Source organism: Homo sapiens, chromosome 1 (genome assembly GCF_000001405.40).
Source record: "Homo sapiens chromosome 1, GRCh38.p14 Primary Assembly".
Lineage (NCBI taxonomy): Eukaryota > Metazoa > Chordata > Mammalia > Primates > Hominidae > Homo > Homo sapiens.
This window is the reverse complement of record NC_000001.11, coordinates 42,581,771-42,601,546: the sequence shown is the minus strand read 5'-3', so window position 1 is coordinate 42,601,546 and position 19,776 is coordinate 42,581,771. Positions and strand designations below refer to the sequence as shown.

The 19,776-nt window shown below is 40.7% G+C and overlaps 1 protein-coding gene and 1 long non-coding RNA gene across 12 annotated transcripts in view; one reads left to right on the top strand and one right to left on the bottom strand.

Moving 5' to 3' along the window:
• CCDC30 (coiled-coil domain containing 30) overlaps positions 1 to 19,776 on the bottom strand; it is a 201,084-nt gene that overhangs the window by 55,644 nt on the left and 125,664 nt on the right. For all 11 annotated transcript variants that reach the window (NM_001355226.2, NM_001395384.1, NM_001395517.1 and 8 more), the window contains one exon: positions 12,064 to 12,226. In NM_001355226.2, the coding sequence (NP_001342155.1) occupies positions 12,064 to 12,226 (163 nt within the window). The remainder of the gene's footprint in view (positions 1 to 12,063; positions 12,227 to 19,776) is intronic.
• Positions 1 to 19,776, top strand: part of LOC124904162 (uncharacterized) — a 104,986-nt gene that overhangs the window by 74,260 nt on the left and 10,950 nt on the right. The gene's annotated exons all lie outside the window — the stretch shown is intronic.

The following is a 19,776-nucleotide window of genomic DNA, read 5'->3' as shown; positions in this document are numbered from 1 at the left end:
GGGGTGTCCCAAAATGGGATGCCCTGGCTATGTGGGAAGGTTAGCTAGGGGTTCATGCCCAGAAGACTCATGGACTCTGCCTCATACAGCATGGTGGTGCAGAACAGCCACTCTGGTTTTGCATCTCCTTTGGCTGAGATAAATAGCACGATTTTGTGGGCTGGGGTTGTTAGTCCCAATCCCCTCTCTTTGTTTCAAGCTGCCTTCAGGGGTTTTTCTCCCTTCAGACACTCACCAATGCTTCCCGTCTTTCTTCTCTTCTAATATATGCATTCAATGCTATAAATGTCCTTCAAAGAACCACTTTCCAACAAATTTTGATAAGTTGTATCTTCACTTTCATTTAGTTCAAAATATTTTGAAATTTCTCTTGCGATTTCTTCTTTGACTTTTGTGTTTACAAGTCTGTTGTTTAATCTCCAAGTATTTGGGAGTTTTCCAGCTATCTTTCTGTTACTGATTTCTAGTTTAATTCCATTAGGGTCTGTATTAGTCCGTTCTCACACAACTATAAGGAAATACCTGAGACTGGGTAATTTATGAAGAAATGAGATTTAATTGACTTGCAGTTCCACAAGCTATACAGGAAGTATGGCTGGGAGGCCTCAGGAAACTTACAATCACGGCGGAAGGTGAAGGGGAAGCAAGACATGTCTTACCACAGTGAGTGGGGGAGAGAGAGAGAAAGAAGGAGGGAGGGAGGGAGAGAGCAAGAGTGAGAGAGAGAGAGAGAGAGAGCACAGGGGGAAATGTTATACACTTTCAAACAACCAGATCTTGTGAGAACTCTATCATGAGACAGCACTAGGGGTATGGTGCTAAACCATCAGAAACTACCCCGATGATCCAATCACCTCCCACAAGGCCCCTCCTCCAACACTTGGGATCACAAGTCAACATGAGATTTGGGTGGGGACACAGAGCCAAACCATATCAGGGTCTGAGAGCATACATTGCATGATTTCTATTCTTTCATGTTTGTTAATTTGTGTTTTATGGCCCAGAATGTGGTCTCTCTTGATTAACATTCCATGAGAGCTTGAGAAGAATGTGTAATCTGCTGTTGTTGGGTGAAGTAGTCTATAGATATCCACTATATCTGGCTGGTTTATGGTGGTGTGGAGTTCAACTATGTCCTCACTGATTTTCTGCCTGCTGGACCTGTCCACTGCTGATAGAGGGGTATTAAAATCTGCAATGATAACAGTGAATTTCACCTACTCCTCCTTGCAGTTGTATCAATTTTTGCCTCACATATTTTGACATTCTTTTTTTAGGCACATACATATTAAAGATTGTTTTTTCTTCTTGGAGAATTGACCTTTTTAATCATTAAATAATGTTCCTCTTTATCCTGGATAAGTTCCTGATATGATTTGACTCTCTGTCCCCACCCAAATCTCATGTTGAATTGTGATCCCGAGTGTTGAAGGTGGGGCCTGGTGGAAGGTGATTGGATCATGGGGGTGGTTTCTAATGGTTTAGCTCCATGCCCCTAGTGCTGTCTGGTGATAGAGTTCTCACAAGATCCAGTTGTTCGAAAGTGTTTAGCACCTCCTGCCTCACTCTCTCTTCCTTCTCCAGCCATGTAAGATGTGCCTTGCTTCCCCTTTACCTTCTGCCATAATTGTAAGTATCCTGAAGCCTCCCCAGCCATGTAGAATGGTGAATCAATTAAATCTCTTTTCTTTATAGATTACCCAGTCGCAGGTATGTCTTTATAGCAGCATGAGAACAGACTAATACACTTCCCTTACTCTGAAGTATGTGCTGTCTGAAATTAATTTAGCTACTCTCACTTTCTTTTGATTAATGTTAGCATGTTACATCCTTCTCCATCCATTTACTTTTAATTTACATGTGTCTTTATATTTAAAGTGGGCTTCTTGTAGACAACATATAGTTGGGTTTTGTTCAACTTTGACCAATTTGGACATTCTTTTTTAATTGGTGCATTTAAACCATTGATGTCTAAAGTGATTATTAATATAATTGGATTGATATCTACCATATTTATTACTGTTTTCTATTAGTTGTTCTTTGTTGCTATTTTTGTCTTCCATGCTTTTTATGCCTTTTGTGACTTTAATTGAGCATTTTATATGATTCTGTTGTCCTCCTTTCTTAGGGTATCAGTTGTACTTCTTTCTATTTTTTCTAGTAGCTCTAGAATTTATAACATACAACTAACCCAAGTCCACTTTCAAATAACACTATACTACTTCACAGGTAGTATGAGTACCTTATAATAAGAAGATAATCCTAATTCTTCCTTCTTGTCCCTTATATCATTGCTGTCATTAATTTCACTTACACATAAGCATATCTAAGTGTATGTATGTGTGTGTATATATATTTATACACAGTTATATATGACACACATAATCAAATACATTGTTGCTATTATGCTGAACAACTTATCTCTTAGATCAACTAAAATTTAAAAATGAAAGTTTTTACTTTACCTTCACTAATTTATTCTCCAATGCTTTTCCTTCCTTATGTAGATCCTGGTTTCTGATCTATATTTTGTTTCCCTTCTCTCTAAAGAACTTCTTTTAACATTTCTTGCAAGGTAATAGATTCCCTTAATTTTTTTTGTCTGAGAAAGTATTTCTCCTTCACTTAGAAACAATTTTTGTTGTTGTTGTTGAGACAGAGTCTCACTATGTTGCCCAGGTTGGTCTCAAACTCCTGGTCTCAAGCGATCCTCCTGTCTTGGCCTCCCAAAGTACTGGGATTACAGGTGTGAGCCACCACACCTGGCCCTCACCTTTACTTTTTTTTTTGAGACAGGGTCTCACTCTGTCACCCTGGCTGAAGTGCAGTGGCATGACCAACTTTGACATTCTCTTTTAATTGGTACATTTAAACCATTGATGTCTAAAGTGATTATTAATATAATTTGATTTATATCTACCATATTTATTATGGTTTTCTATTAGTTGTTCTTGTTCTTTGTTGCTACTTTTGTCTTCCATGCTTTTTCTGCCTTTTGTAATTTTAATAGAGCATTTTATATAATTCCATTGTCCCTCCTTTCTTATTGCATCAGCTCATTGCAGCTTCAACCTTCTGGGCTCAAAAATTCCTTCCACCTTAACCCACTCCCAGTCCCCACCCCCACCGCCACCCCCAGTAGCTGAAATTAGAGATGCATGCCACCACATCCAGCTAATATATATATTTTTTGTAGAGATAAGGTTATCACTATGTTGCCCAGACTGATCTTGAACTCCTTCGCTCAAGAGATCCTCCTGCCTCAGCCTCCCAAAGTGCTGGGATTACAGGTATGAGCCACCATGCCCAGCTTCCCTCACCTTTGAAGGATAATTTTGCAAGGTACAGAATTCTAGGTTGGTAATTTTTTCTCTTAATACTTTACTATTTATGTATTTATTTCACAGGCCAGAATGCAGTGGCACAATCATGGTTCCTGCAGCCTTGAACTCCTGGGCTCAAGCGATCCTCCCACCTCAACCTCCCAAGTAGTTGGGACTGCAGGTGGTGCTCCACCACACCTGGCTAAGGTTTTCTTTTTTCCATTTTTTGTAGAGACTGGAGTCTCACTATGTTGCTCAGGCTGGTCTTGAACTCCTGGCCTTAAGTGATCCTCCCGCCTCAGCCTCCCAAAGTGCTGGGATTACAGGTGTGAGCCACTGTGCCTGGCGATTTTTTTTTTAAGGCAGATTCTTGCTTTGTCCCCTAGGCTGGAATGCAGTGGCATGATCACAACTCACTGCCGCCTAGACCTCCTGGGCTCAAGTGATCCTCCTCCCTCAGCCTCCTGAAGTGGTATAGTGTTATTTGAAAGTGGACTTGGGTTAGTTGTATATTATAAACTCTAGGGCCACTCAGCTGGGACCACAGGTGTGCACCACCATACCCAGCTAATTAAAAAACTTTTTTTTTTTGTAGGGATGGGGTTTCACCATGTTGCCCAGGCTGATCTCAAGTGATCTTTCTGTCTTGGCTTCTCAAAGTGCTGGGATTACAGGTGTGAACCACTGTGCCCGGCCTCAACACTTTAAATATTTCACTCCACTCTTCTCTTGCTTTCATGGTTTCTGAAGAAAAGCTGGAAGTAATTCTTATCTTTGTTCCTCTCTGAGTAAGGTTGTTTATTTTTTCCTCTTTCAGGATTTTTCTTTCTCTTTGATTTTCTGTCATTTGAAAATTTTATGCCTAGATGTAGTTTTTTGGGCATTTATCCTGCTTGATGTTCTCTGAGCTTCCTGGATCTCTGGTTTGGTGTCTGTCATTAATCTCAGGAAATTCTCAATCATGATTATTATTTCAAATATGTCTTCTGTTCCTTTCTCTATTTCTTCTCCTTTGGTTATTTCCCATATGTATCTATATGTATCTATCATACCCCTTACATTTATCCCACAGATCTTAGATATTCTGTTGTTTTTGTTTTAGTATTTTTTTGTTTGCTTTTCAGTTTTGTAGATTTCTATTCAGATGTCCTCAAGGACAGAGCTCTTTCCTCAGTTGTATGCAGTCTATTAATAAGCCCACCAAGGTATTCATTTCTGTTACAGTGTTTTTGATCTTTACTTAAAAATCAAAAACACTGTAACGGAATTTCTATGTGGTTCTTTCTTAGGATTTCCCTCTCTCTGCTTGCATTGCCCATCTCTTCCTGCATGTGGTCTACTTTATTCCTTAGAGCCCTTAGCACATTAATCACAGTTATTTTCAATTTCTGGTCTGATAATTTCAATATTCCTGCTGTATCTGAGCCTGGTTCTAATGCTTGCTCTGTCTGTTCAAACTGTTTTTGTTTGTTTGTTTGTTTGTTTTTTTGCCTTTTAGCGTGTCTTGTAATTTTTTCTTGATAGCGAAACATGATGCAGTGAGTAGAGGAAACTGCTGTTAAATGGGCCGTTAGTGATGTGGTGGTGAAGTGTTGGGGTGGATGGGTGGCATTCTATAGCTCTATGATTAGGTACAGTCTTTTAGTAAGCCTGTGCCCCTGGACTGTAAATTTCACACGTGCTAGTTTTTTTTTTCTCCACCCACCTCCCTTTTGTGGGACGAGATGGCTAGAGTTGGCTGGAGTTGGATATTTCTATTCCGCTAGGTCTGTTAGACTCTGACAAAACCCCAACAGCTTAGGCTCTGGTTAAATAGTTTCTCCTGCCGGCAGACCCTGTTAGGAAGTTTCAAATGTTCCCCTTTTCTCCCCGTTCTGGAAGCAAAAGGGGATTTTTCTCAGATATTCACAAGAACCTGGTATGCTACAGGAGGTAAAACTCACAAATGTGTCTAAGTCCCCTAATGACTGGGTCCCTCTGGAGTTTCTCTCTCTCAGACTTGATACACTGAGCCTCCAGCAATTCATCATTTACAGTTCAGGTTTCCATACCTGGGCACTGGTCCTCATGAAGGTTTTGCTCCAGTAAGTTGTGATTATCTGTATTTGTCTATAGGTATCTCTAATTTTCGGGGTAGCGGTTTGGACTGTGACCTCTCTTCTCTGAAGGATCTAGGGAAATGTGTTGATTTTTCAGTTTGTTTGGCATTTCACTTGTTGTCAGGACACAGTGACAACTTCCAAGCTTCTTACATGCTGGATCAGAACGTAGAAGTCTGTTTCACATGTTTTTGCATTCGCACCAGAGGCATCTCTCAATAATCAGACGGAACAAATAGTGCTTTCTGTACATGTCATTTAGCCTCTTTCTAGCACCCATTTGCCTGCTTAGAGGGCTCATGGACAAGGTGCATGATAGCAGGAATATATATTTTTCAGGGAGTCACTAAGGCTAATCCACTTAATTTGCCAAACCCCAAGATCCCAATATAAATGCTGAGCAAGTAATATGGCACCATCTCCTGGGAGAACCAGCAAGCAACCTGGTAGCAGGTTCATTACCTTTCTATCATCAGTATCGTGGATAGAATGACAATTTGCTCTCAGTGGACTAGACACTTATTATAAATATGGATTTGCTTTATCTTTTGTTTTTCTTTTTCTTTTTTTCTCTTTTTGAGACAGAGTCTTGCTCTGTCACCCAGGCTGGAATGCAGTGGCGCAATCTCAGCTCACTGCAACCTTCACCTCCCAGGCTCAAGCGATTCTCCTGCCTCAGCCTCCCAAGTAGCTGGAATTACAGGCATGTGCCACCACACCTGGCTAATTTTTGTATTTTTAGTAGAGAGGGGATTTCACCATGTTGGCCAGGCTGGTCTCGAATTCCTGACCTCAAGTGATCCGCCCGCCTTGGGCTTCCAAAGTGCTGGGATGGCAGGCGTGAGCCACCACGCCTGGCCTGGATTTACTTTTTCTGTCCATAACGCTTTTGCCAGGACCACCATTTGTGGACTTACCAAATTCCTTATTTCTCGTCATGATATATAACTCGGATCTAGACTTGTAGTAATAAAAAAAAATATTGCTTCTGACCAAGAAAATCACTTTATAGCAAGAAAAGTGAAACAATGGCTCATATAATCATATGACTCATTGGTTCTACCGTATATCCTATCATGCAGAAAAACCAATCTGAAAAAAAAAAACAGCGAAATTACCTACGGAAGACTTAGCTATGATGCTGGCCAGGTGACAACACTTCATAGGTTTGAAGTGTTGTCTTACAAGATGATGTATAAACTTTTAACTGTGATTGATATATGATATTATTTCTCCCCTAGCCAGAATACATGAAAAGGGACCAAGAGATGAAATTGGGAGTGGCTTCTTAGGCCAATACCCATTAGCAAAATGCATGCTATTGTATTACTGGTAGTTAACTTTATAATTTTTTGTTTTAATTTTTAAAATTTTCATTTCTTTTTTATTTTATTCAGAGCAGAAGACCATGATGTTTTAATTTAAGAAATGAGGTCTGGCTATGTTGCCCAGACAGGAATACAGGGGCTATTCACATATGCAATCATAGCATACTGAGCCTTGAACTTCTGGCCACAAGCAATCCTTCTGCCTCAGGCTTCTAAGCAGCTAGTACTATAGGCACTTGCTTAATTATAAGTTCCTGGCTTCTAATTAAGCTTTTTCTTTTTTCACTTGAGGTCTCACTCTGTCACCCAGGCTGCAGTGCAGTGACACAAACACAGCTCACTGAAGCCTTGACCTCCTGGGCTCAAGCAATCCTCCCACCTCAGCCTCCCATGTAGCTAGAGCTGCAGGTGCACACCATCAGGCCCAGCTAATTAAAAAAAATTTTGTTTTGTAGAGACAGGGTCTTGCTATGTTGCCAAGGCTGGTCTCGAACTCCTGAGCTCAAGCAATCCTCCCACTTCAGCCTCCTAAATCGTTGGGATCACAGTCGTGAGCCACCACACCTGGCCTATAATTAAGTTTTAATGTTATAGTATATCCACGCATGTGGATTGAGACTGAAGTAAAATGAACATCACCCCAAAATAATCATAGATACTGATTGGACTTTGAGTATTCTTTATTTTTATGGAGACAGTGTGTCTTTATTTATATGAATTATAGTGCATCATATTCAGTGGAAGCATGATATTCTTCTTGTAGTTTAGAAGTTAAGCCACAAGGTAAAAGCATTTGGATGGATGCTGAGTATCCCAAGTGGACTGTGCTAGAACTCAACATGACCCCACTCTTCTAAGCTTTCCCCTGGGCCATGAGCTTGGAAGCCTGAAAACTGCATTTTCCAGACTTCCCTGCTAGCAGGGATCAAGTGTAGTTTCTGCAGATGAGAGGAACTTGCACACAATTTGGAAAGCATAAGGGAAGGAAAAGTCATTTTTCTTGTGTTACTGTGGTATAATACATACATATTTTGATCTTTGTCCTATTTCCTGGCACGCTGCTCCTAAAACTCTTGGAATCTCCGAAGTGGTAAGTGTCTTTTTTGTAAACTAATGAGAAGACTGATGGCAGAGGGGTGGGGAGACTCTGGGGCAGCCTCAGGATGTAGGCAAGTTGCCAGGGGTACCATTATATGATTAGAGGGTTGGAACTTTCAGGCTCATCCAGACTTCCCAGGAAGGGAGAGGGACTAAAGGTTGAGTTAATCACTAACAGTTAATGATTTAACCAATCATGCCTACATAATGAAGTCTTCATAAATCCCCAAAAGGACAGGGTTTAGGGAGCTTCTAGGTTGCTGAATATGTGGAGGTCCTGGGAGGGTGGTGTGATCAGAGGTCATGGAAGTTCCACATCCCTTTCCACATGCCTTGCCCTATGCATCTCTTCCATCTGGCTGTTCCTGAGTTGTGTCCTTTTATAATCAGCCAGTAATCCAGTAAGCAAACTGTTTTCCTGAATTCTGTGAGCCATCCTACAAAAAGATCAAACCCAAGGAGAGGGTTGTGGGGACCTCTGATTTATAACTGGTTGGTCAGAAGCATAAGCAAAAACCTGGACTTGCAATTGGCATCTCGAATGGGGGCAGTATTGTGGGACTGAGAGCTTAACTCATGGGATCTGATGCTATCTTCAGGTAGATAGTGTCAGACTGACTTACATTTTTGTACATCCAGTTGGTGTCCACAAAGAATTGGAGAATTGCTTAGTATGGGGAAAAACTCACATAACTGGTGTCAGAAGTTGTATTTGGCCATTTTTGCATTGCTATAAAGGAATACCTGAGACTGGGTAATTTATAGAGAAAAGAAGTTTAATTGGCTCATGGTTCTGCCGGCTATACAGAAAGCGTGGTGCCAGCATCTGCTCAGCTTCTGGTGAGGGCCTCAGGAAGCTCACAATCATGATGGTAGGTGAAGTGGGAGCAGACATGTCATATGGTGAGAGGAGCAAGAGAATGGGGAGAGGTGTCATATACTTTATTTATTTATATTTTAAGTTTTATTTATTTATTTATTTTTTGAGACAGGGTCTGGCTTTGTTGTCCAGGCTGGAGTGCAATGGCGTGATCTCAGCTCACTGCAAATTCCGCCTCCCAGGTTCAAGCCATCTTCCCCACCTCAGCCTCCTGAATAGCTGAGACTACAGGTGTATGCCAACACATCCAATTAATTTTTGTATTTTTTTGTACAGATGGATTTCTCCATGTTGCCAAGGCTGGTCTCAAACTCCTGAGCTCAAGTTCAAGGTCAAGCTCAAATGCCTTGGCCTCCCAAACTGCCGGGATTACAGGCATGAGCTACCATGCCTGGCTACATACTTTCAAACAACCAGATCTCATGAAGAGCACACTCACTATTATGAGGACAGCACCAGGCCATTAATGAGGGATGCACTCCAATGACCCAAACACACTCCCCTCAGACCCAACCTCCAACAACGGGGATTACATTTCAAGATGAGATTTGGAGGGGATAAAGAACCAAACCGTATCATTCCACCCATGACCCCTCAAATTGCATGTCTTTCTCACACTACAAGATACAATCATTCCCTACCAATAGTCCCCAAAAGTCTTAACTCATTCCAGCATCAAGTCCAAAGTCCTAAGTCTCTTCTGAGACTTATCTCCTTCCACTTATGAGCCTGTAAAAATCAAAATAAGTCATTTACTCCCAAGATACAGTGGTAGTACAGGCATTAGGTAAACATCACAATTCCAAAAGGGAGAAATTAGCCAAAAGAAAGAGTCAATAGGCCCCATGCAAGTCTAAATCTCAGCAGGGCAGTCATTAAATCTTAAAGCTCCAAAATACTCTCCCTTGACTCCATGTCCCACATCCAGGGCACAATGGTGCAATGCGTAGGCTCCCAAGGCCTTGGGTAGCTCTTCTCCTGTGGCTTTGCAGGCAGCAGCCCCTGTGGCTGATCTCACTGGTTGGAGCTGGGTGTCTGAGGCTTTCCCAGGTACAGGATGCAAGCTGCCTGTGGATCTACCATTCTGGAGTCTGGAGGGCAGTGGCCCACTTCTTATAGCTCCACTAGGCAGTGCCCCAGTGGGGACTCTGTGTGAGGCTTCCAACCCCACATTTCCCCTCAGCATTGCCCTATTAGAACTTCTCTGTGAGGGCTCTGCCCCTGTGGCAGGGTTCTGCCTGGGCACCCAGGCTATCTCTCACATCATCTGAAATCTTTGTGGGAGCTGCCAAGCCTCCTTCACTCTTGCATTCTATGTGCCCACAGGTTTAGTACCACATGGAAGCCACCAAGGCTTATGGCTTGCATCCTCTGGACAGGCAGCCTGAGCTGTATCTGGGGTCCTTTGAGCCACAGCTGGAGCTGTAGTAGCTGGGATTCAGGGAGCAGTGTCCTGAGGCTGAGCAGAGCAGTGGTACCCAGTGCTTGGCCCCCTAAACCATTCTTTCCTCCTACGTCTGTGGACCTGTGATGGTAGGGGCTGTCTCCAAGTTCTCTGAGATTGCCTTTGAGGCCTTTTCCCATTGTCTTGGATACTAGCACTTGGCTCCCATTTAGTCATGCTAGTTTCTCTAGCAAGTAGTTGCTCCATACCCTGCTGGGATTCTTTCTCTGCCACATGGCCAGGCTGCAAATTTGCTGAATTTTTATGCTCTGCTTCCCTTTTGAATATAAGTTCCAACTTTAAGTCATTCCTTTGCTCCCATATCTGATCACAGGTTGTTACAAGGAGTCAGGCCACATCTTGAATGCTTTGCTGCTTAGAAATTTCTTCTGCCAGAGACCCTAAATTACCACTCTTAAATTCAAACTTCCACAGATCCTTGGTACATGAACACAATGCAGGAGTTCTTTGCTAGGGTGTAACATGAGTGACGTTTATTCCAGTTCCCAATAACTTCCTTATTTCCATCTGAGACCTCACTAGGCTGGCCTTCACTGTCCATATTTCTATCAGTATTTTGGTCATAACAATTTAACCAGTCTCTAAGAAGTTACAAACTTTCATCCTCTTTTTTTTTTTGAGACAGAGTCTCGCTGTGTCACCTAGGCTGTAGTGTAGTGGCATGATCATGGCTCATTGCAACCCCGACCTCCCAGCTCAAGTGATCTTCCCACCTCAGCCTCCTGAGTAGCTGGTACTACAGGTCCATGCCACCATATCTGGCTAATTATTTTTTTGTTGAGACAAGGGCTCACTATGTTGCCCAGGCTGGTCTTGAACTCCTGGCCTCAAGCAATCCTCCTACCTCAGCCTCTCAAGCGCTGGGATTACAGTTGTGAGCCACTGCTCCTGGTCCTCCTGCCTTCTTCTGAGCCCTCCAAACTCTTCCAATCTCTGCCTGTTACCCAGTTCCAAACTTGCTTCCACATTTTCAGGTATCTTTTTTAGTAACGCTCCGCTTCTTGGTACCAATTTTCTGTGTCAAGCTGTTCTTGCACTGCTATAAAGAAATACCCGAGACTGGGTAATTTATAAAGAAAAGAAGTTTAATTGGCTTACAGATATGCAGACTATACAGGAAGCATGGTATCGGCATCTGGTCAGCTTCTGGTGAGGGACTCAGGAAGCTAACAATCATGGTGGTAGGTGAAATGGGAGCAGACATGTCACACGGTGATAGTGGGAGCAAGAGAGAGCGGAGAGGTGCCACACACTTTTAAACATCTAGATCTCGCAATAATTCATTATCGTGAGGACAGCATCAAGCCATTTATGAGGGACCCACCCCCATGACAAAACCACCTCCTGTTAAGCCCCACCTCCAATGATGGGGATTACATTTCAGCAAGAGATTTGGAGAGGAGAATCATCCAAACTATATCAGAAGTGAAGTATTCAGAGTGGTACGAGTATAGAAAGAAGAAACAGGTTTGTTTGTCTTTCCCCCCAACAGTTCTTTAGCACTAGCAGATGGATAAAAGGGCAGACAACAGATGAGACATTTGTAGGAGCTTCAGGACAGTTCCTGCAAATTCTCCACTTTGACGCTGCAGGAGGTGGCTTCTCTGTGATTTCTGAACTTCTGGATTTATTGAAAGCTAGCAGCAGTCCTTTCTGACTCTACTCTCCCCTGGTCCCTTCCAACTGTTTTGTAAGCTCTTATTCCCTGTGTTAAATCTCTTCTTGCTTGAAATACCTAGAGTAGATTCTACTTTCCTGACTGAACCCTGACTAAAGGATTAGGTTTAGTAAAGTGCTAGGCACTCAATAATAATTAGCTGTTACTAATGGGAATAGGAAAACTGAGAAGCATGTCTATTTACTTTCTTACCTCATCATATTTTCTTTTTTCATTTTCCAGTTGTTTAAGTAGGGCCTCTTGTTGCTGAATTCTGGATTGTTGCTGAGAACAGGTCATTTCCAGTAGATTTTCTTTATCTTGTAAGGTTCTCACTTGCCTGTGTAACTCATCTACGTTCTGATATAGAAGTTTCCTGAGGGCAATTAATGTAGATTAAATCACACCATGAATTGCAAATGAAATTCAGACCTAAAATTTTTATGGCATCACAAGGGATTTTTTTTTTTTTTGGTTCAATGAAGTAGGGTATGTGTCTATAAGCTAAAGGGACCAACACAGGGAACCTCTTTTGTGATAGAAGCTTTCCTTACTTCTCTCACTCACTCATCAAAATGACCCTATGAGGAAAAAGTAGTTGTCCTTATTTCAGAGATGAGGAAGTTGTGGTAGAGAGAACAGTTAAGACAAAGTGGAGGTAGGGCTCGAATCCTGAATCCCATATTCTTTCTTCCTTACTGCTTTACGAGTTGAGCCCTTCATCTTCTGGGTTCAAGGTAATGTTAGTTACAAGCACTATTGATAATAATAAGCACACATTAACACTGCTATAAATGAATCATAAATGAGCCTGCATTTTATGAGAAAATTTACCATTTTCCAAAAGAGGGTAAAGGAACTCACAGAATTTTACCTCAAATATGGTATCCTGGTATACTAAATATTTTGAATGAAAGGCCCTTAGAGATCAGCAGATGCTAGAAGAGGCTTTTCTCTTATCTGCGTGAAGACTGGACTTACCAAGGAGAACAATTATACCCATCCCCTCCCTGAAACTGCATTATTTATGGATCTTCAGAAAAGAAGATTGAGGAATATAACAACACCTCCACAGACCTTTTCACAAGACAATGGCTATCTCTTAAACTCATTCAAATTCCCAGGTAAATAATTTATGAATTAATTTTTGTCTCCAGGGTCCCTTCACTCTCCCTAATGAGTTACTGTCCCTTGGAATTCTCTACATTCCTCATCTCCCTCTCCCCTGGAAATGGGTATATAAGCTTCTGCAACACACTTAGACACTGGGTCATCACACTTGATTTTCCCCACCCCACGTTAATAAAATTGTGTTTGCTTTTTCTCCTATTAATCTGTCTTTTGTCAGTTGACTTTTCAGAAAACCTTCAGAAGGGGAGGGGAAATTTTCCCTCCACCCCTACAAGGGCCATTAGCACTCTTTCAGTCTCATCATGAAACCAGCCCAACTGTCCCACAGAAATTACACTTACAGTTTTTTAAACAAATGTAGAAATGTACCCTCCCAGTCTTAAAACTTGAAATTTATATCTGAGTTCCTCCCTCAGGAGACTGACCCTCAGGCAAGAAACTAAAATTCACCAGATCGTAGCATACAGAAAATGAGATGCCTCATTCCTCATGATTGGTTCCTTACCCCTCACTAATTCCTGTTTTACATTCCTTCCCTGCTATAACCCCCCAAATTTTAGTTGGTCAGGGAGATAGATTTGAGACTGATCTCCCATTCTCCTCAACTGCGGCACCCTAATAAAGCCTTTTTCCCTGGCAATACTCATTGTCTCAGTAATTGGCTTTCTGTGCACTAAGCAATGGGACCTAGACCAAACCCCTGGTATTTCAGTAATAGAATAAAGTTTGTGAAAAGAGTTTTCTGAGGATTTCAGACCAAGGTTCTCTGGACTTAGGAGATTCATCTTGAAGACTGTGATGATGATAATGAAATAGTACTGGTGGGCAAAAGTCTCACCTGCATGCTAGGGCAGTAAAATCCTGACATTCGACAATTAAGTTTGTTTTCTCTAACTTCAGTATTCTGAGAAATCAACAGGTTATTGGGGGACAATTATATTTGAGACATGGGCTCACATCCCTCCACCTCTCGTTCTTCTCCTTATGTTTCTTGGATGTAAGTGCAGACTCTCCAAGGACTGCTATAGCTAATTTTCTACCATTCACATCCACTTCTACAGCAATATCCTCTCTTTCATCTCTCCTTCATCTAATTCACTGTATACCTGCTATTATGGCCTACTTCTTTTTGGTTCCACTCTCAATTTCCAGACTAAGAGATAAGCCTTGAAACTAAAAGAGAAGTTTTGATCCACTGAAACTAAAAACACTTGAGTTATTGGCAGTAAAATTTGAGAGCTGAAAACTAGAATTGGAAAGTAGGAAGTTGGCTGGACATGGTGGCTCACACCTATAATCCTAGCACTTTGGGAGGCCAAGGTAGGAGGATCGCTTGAGCCCAAAAGTTCAGGAGCAGCCTGGGCAACATAGTGAGAACTCATCTGTATAAAAAATTTTTTAAAAATTAGGCATGGTGGCATGCGCCTGTAGTCCCAGCTACTCAGGAGGCTGAGGTGGGCGAAGTGCTTGAGCCTGGGAGGTCAAGGCTGCAGTGAACTGTGATCGCACTACTGCACTGCAGCCTGGGTGACAGAGTGAGACCCCATCTCTACAAAAAGAAAAAAAGCAAATTCGGAAGTCAAAATTAAAAGAGCAACTCAAGAATATGCGAGAAGTTAATTGATATAGAGTTTGAAAAATAAAAGACTAACAAACCAGGTCTGCCAATGAATAAAATTAAGAAATTGGTGTACTGATAAGACTCCCTGCATTCTCTGCAGCCTGAGCCTCTTTTAGTAGTCAGAGTGTTCTTTCTAAATTGCAAACTAATCATATAACTTCCTCTGCTTAAAATCCTATAGTGGCTCCCCATTACTCTTTCTTATATATATATTTTTTCTGTTCCTTGATTCAGGAACCCCATACTCTTAAGGTAAAGTCCAAACTGTTCACCATGGCTTGATATATTCTGCATGAGAAATGGGCACTGTGGCTCACAAGAGCTGGGCACCATGGCTCATGAGGATCTGTGGCACTATGGCTCACACCTCCTAACACTTTGGGAGTCTGAGGCTGGAGGATCACCTGAGGCCAGGAGTTCTAAAACAACCTGAGCAACATAGGGAGATCCTGTCTCTAAATTTTTTTTTTAATTAGCTGGGCATGTTGGGTATGCCTATAGTCCTAGCTACTCAGTAGGTGGAGGCAGGAGGATCATCTGAGCCCAGGAGTTCAGGGCTGCAGTGAGTCATGATTGTGCCACTGTATTCCAGCCTGGGCAACAGAGCAAGATCCCTGACTCTAAACAAACGAACAAACAAACAAACAAAATCTAAGGTTCTGCATGAGCTAGGCCTACGTCACCTCCTTATCTCATTTTCTCACCACTGTCCCTAACCTCATTTTCTTTCAGCCAATGAACTTTTTCACTTCCTCAAAGTGGTCCTCCATACTATTGTCTATTTAGCTTCTTGATACCAACTACTTCATTCTCAACTTAAACCACTTTCTTTGAGGAAGTCTTTCTTAAGCTCCCTCACTCCATAGATATCCGTGTTATGTACTATCATGGCAACCTAAACCTCCTTTAGTATAACACTTACCACACTTCATCATACTTCATTGCAGTTGCAAAGTCTTATGTATAGAGATATTTATTACAGTTTTATAATAGCAAAAAAGTCTAAAAGATGTAAGTATTACATAAAGTATGATATATCTATGTAACAATGTCATACAACTGTTTAAACTGATATTATGAAACCATAAATCAGTAAGAAAAAGAGAGATGGAAAATTCTAAATATTTGGGATAAACAACACACTTCTAAATAATACATGAGTCAAAAAGGAGGTCTCAATAAATTAAAAATATTTTGAACTAAATGAAAATGAAATACAACTTACAAAATTTATAGGATACAACATAGCAGAAAACTTGTAGCATTACATGCATATATTATAAAGGAAGAAAAATATAAAATCAGTAATCTAAGCTTTCACCTTAGGAAACTAGAGAAAGAAGAACATTATAAGCCTAAAGCAAGCAGAAGCAAAGAAATAGTAAAAATGAGAGTATTAATCAATGGGATTGAAAACAAGAAAACAATAGAGAAAAATCAATGAAATCAAAAGTTCATTCTTTGAAAAGATGAATAAAATAGATAAACCTCTAGCCAGGCTAACTAATAAATAGAGAAGACAAATATTAATAATATAAAAAATGTGGCCAGGCACAATGGCTCACATCTATAATCCCAGCACTTTGGGAGGCTGAGGCAGGAGTATCACTTGAATGCAGGAACTTGAGACCAGCCTGGGCAACACAGCAAAGACTCATCTCTATTTGACAAATAAAACATTTATTTTTAAATATCAAAATGAAAGAAGGGCCACCACTACTAACTCCATGGACATTAAAAGGATAATAAAGGAGTATTATGAACAATTCTGCCTACAAATATGATAACTTACATTATATGGACTGATTCTTTGAAAGACACAAACTACGAAAGCTCACACAAGGAGAAATAGATAATCTAAGTTGGCCTATATCTGTTAAAGAAATTGAATCAATAATTAATTACCTTCCAAAAAATAAAGCACTAGGCCCAGATGATTTCATGGTGAATTCTACCAAACATTTAAGAAAGAAATGATACCAATTCTCTGCAATCTCTTCCAAAAAAAATTGAAGGAGAGGGGACACTTCCTAAGTAATTTTTTGAGACAAACATTACCCTAATACCAAAACCAGATACAGATATTATATGATAGGAAAACCACAGACCAATACCTTCATGAACAGGTTCAAACTCAGTGTGGTCTGTTAAGTTCTACATGACCTAGGTCTAGCTTACCTTTCTAGCCTCATTTTCTTGCCACTTTCCTTGTCTCTAAACGTTTTGTTCTGGCCAAATGAACTTTCTTCATCTTACTGAGAAGATTATGATGATAATGACAACAATAGTAACAACAATAACATCCAATATTATAATAACAGCGAAACTTTCTTTTTTTTGAGATGGAGTCTCGCCTGTTTAGCCTGCCCTGTTGCCCACGTTGGAGTGCAGTGGCGCCATCTTGGCTCACTGCAACCTCTGCCTCCTGGGTTTAAGCAATTTTCTTGCCTCAGCCTCCCAAGTAGCTGGGGTTAACATGTGTCTGCTACCATGCTTGGCTAATTTTTGTATTTTTAAGTAAAGATGGGATTTCACTATGTTGGCCAGGCTGGTCTCAAACTTCTGACCTCAAGTGATCTGCCTGCCTCAGCCTCCTAACATGCTGGGATTACAGGTGTGAGCCACTGGTGCCAGGCCTAATTTAAACTAAATAGAATTAACTATAGTTTAACAAATATATTTTTAATAGAGTAGCTTTGTAACATTTTGACTTGTCTAGTTTCCCAGAATTCCTTCTGTGTAAGTTTCTGGTTATAGTGGGCCACAGGAGATAATATTTGTGTAAGATTTAGAGAACAGAATTGAAACATTTTGTTTTTTCCAGGTGGAAGGTTGGAGCAGGCATTTTTATAGTTTATAAACACTGCTAGATATCTGCTGCTCACCTTGGCATGACGCAACAGCCAGGCCTACAACTGCTCCACCTTCCCTTGAATCCTCCTTCACCTTTTCCATCTCCTGGGCCAGATGTCTATTTAGCTCCTTGATGAAGGGTGCCAGTTTTTCCTGTAGGATACCTACACTTTATCAAGGTTAGAGGCAGCAAGAACTGACATGGCTTCCAGTCCATCTTCATGGTTTTCACCTTGTTGCTCTTCCACTTTACATTCAACTTCATTTCATGATTGTTTGCCCTGCAGACTTCAAGCTCTAGCATAAGATGCAAAGATGACGCCATACAGACTGCATAACCAGTTCCCATAATTGCATAAGACCAAGTCCCTGTAATAAGGCTTTTATTAAATATATATTCCTACTGATTCTATTTCCTGGTAGAAGTGCTTATTATGTGTCAGGATATATATTATGTCACTGAAATAGAAGAAACTGGGAAAAATCTAAATGTTCAACAATAAAGGATTTATTAAATAAAATGTGACATATCATTAAAATAATATTCTAGAAAAAAATGTAATGTCAGATAAACAGATCGTAATATTTTAAGTGAAAAAGTAGGTTACAATCTAACTATTTAAATCAGGGTTATTTTCTTCCAGATTATGAAACAATATACACTATAGGGTCCCCTTTCGGTAGAAGAATTTCCCTATATATTTTATTTTCCTACACTTAGTTTAAATAGTGCATACATATTTCTTCTTAGCAAATCTTCACAAAAGATGTATAGAACTGGCATTACAATTCCCACTTTAGACATAAGGACACTAAGCAAGAACAAACATCAAATTTATGGTGAAACTAAGGTGGAAGAATGCTGAAGTCATTGATGCTTTAATGAAAAGTTTAAAGAGACAACAGCCCAAAGAAATCAGCAGTTTACTAATGGATAAGTCATTTTAAGAAGGGATGAGATGATGTTGAAGATGAGGGCCACAGTGGCAGACCATCCACACCAATTTACAAAGAAAAAAAATAATTTTTTTGTGCCCTAATTGAAGACTGATAATTAGCAGCAGAAACAATAGCCAATATCATAGACATCTCAATTGATTCAGCTTACCACAATTCTGACAGAGAAATTAAAGTTTAGCAAACTTTCCACTTGATGGGTGCCAAAACTGTTGCATTCAGATTAGCTACAGACAGGAGCAAAGCTTTCAATAGGAATTTTACACAAGTGGGAGGAAGATCCTGAAGCACTTCTTTGAAGAATTGTAACAGGAGAAGAAACATGGCTTTACCAATATGATACTGAAGACAAAGCATAATCAAAGAAATGGCTACCAAGAGGAGGAGGAAGTGGCCCAGTCACAGCAAAAGTGGACCAGTCAAGAGCAGAGGTCATGCCAACAGTTTTTTGTGATGCTCAAAGGATTTTGCTTATTGACTTTCTAGAAAGCCAAATGATAACCTGTTTATTATGAGAGTGTTTTGAGAAAGGTAGCCAAAGCTTTATTTTAAAAAATCCCTGGGAAAGCTTCACCAGATTCCTTCTCTACCATGACAATGCTCCTGCTCATTCCCCTTATCAAACAAGGGCAATTTTCCAAGAGTTTTGATGGGGAATTATTAGGCATCCACCTTACAGTCCTGATTTGGCTCCTTCTGATTTCTTTTTGTTTCCCAATCTTAAAAAATATTTAAAGGGCACCCATTTCTCTTTGGTTAATAATGTGCAAAAGACTGCAATGATATGGTTAAACTCCCAGGATTCTCACTCAGTTCTCTAGGGATGGACTAAATGGTGTGCTTCATCACTTACAAAAGTGCCTTGACCTTGATGGAGCTTATGTTGAGAAATAAAGTTGTTTTTTGAGACAGGGTCTCATTCTGCCACCCAGTCCAGAGTGCAGTGTTTCAATCATGGCTTACTGCAGCCTCAAACTCCTGGGCTCAAGTGATCCTCCTACCTCAGCCTCCTGAGTAGCTGGGACTAAAGGAGTCCACTGTCATGCCTGGATCATTTTTTTTTTTTTTTTTTTTTGGTATAGACAAAGACTCACTATGCTGCCCAGGCTGGTCTCAAACTCCTAGGCTCAAGTGATCCTCCTACCTCGGCATCCCGGAGTGCTGGGATTACAGGTGTGAGCCACTGCACCTGGCCAATATATTTTTTATTTTATCTTTCAATTCAATTTTTCCACAAACTCTCTGAAGTCCCCTCGTACAGAATATCAACTTCATTGTAGTTTGAATTTTGTCAGACTACATGTCAGAGCAAATTCCATAGTATTTCATAGGCAAGTCAGTCAAGAATATTTACTGTTACCACT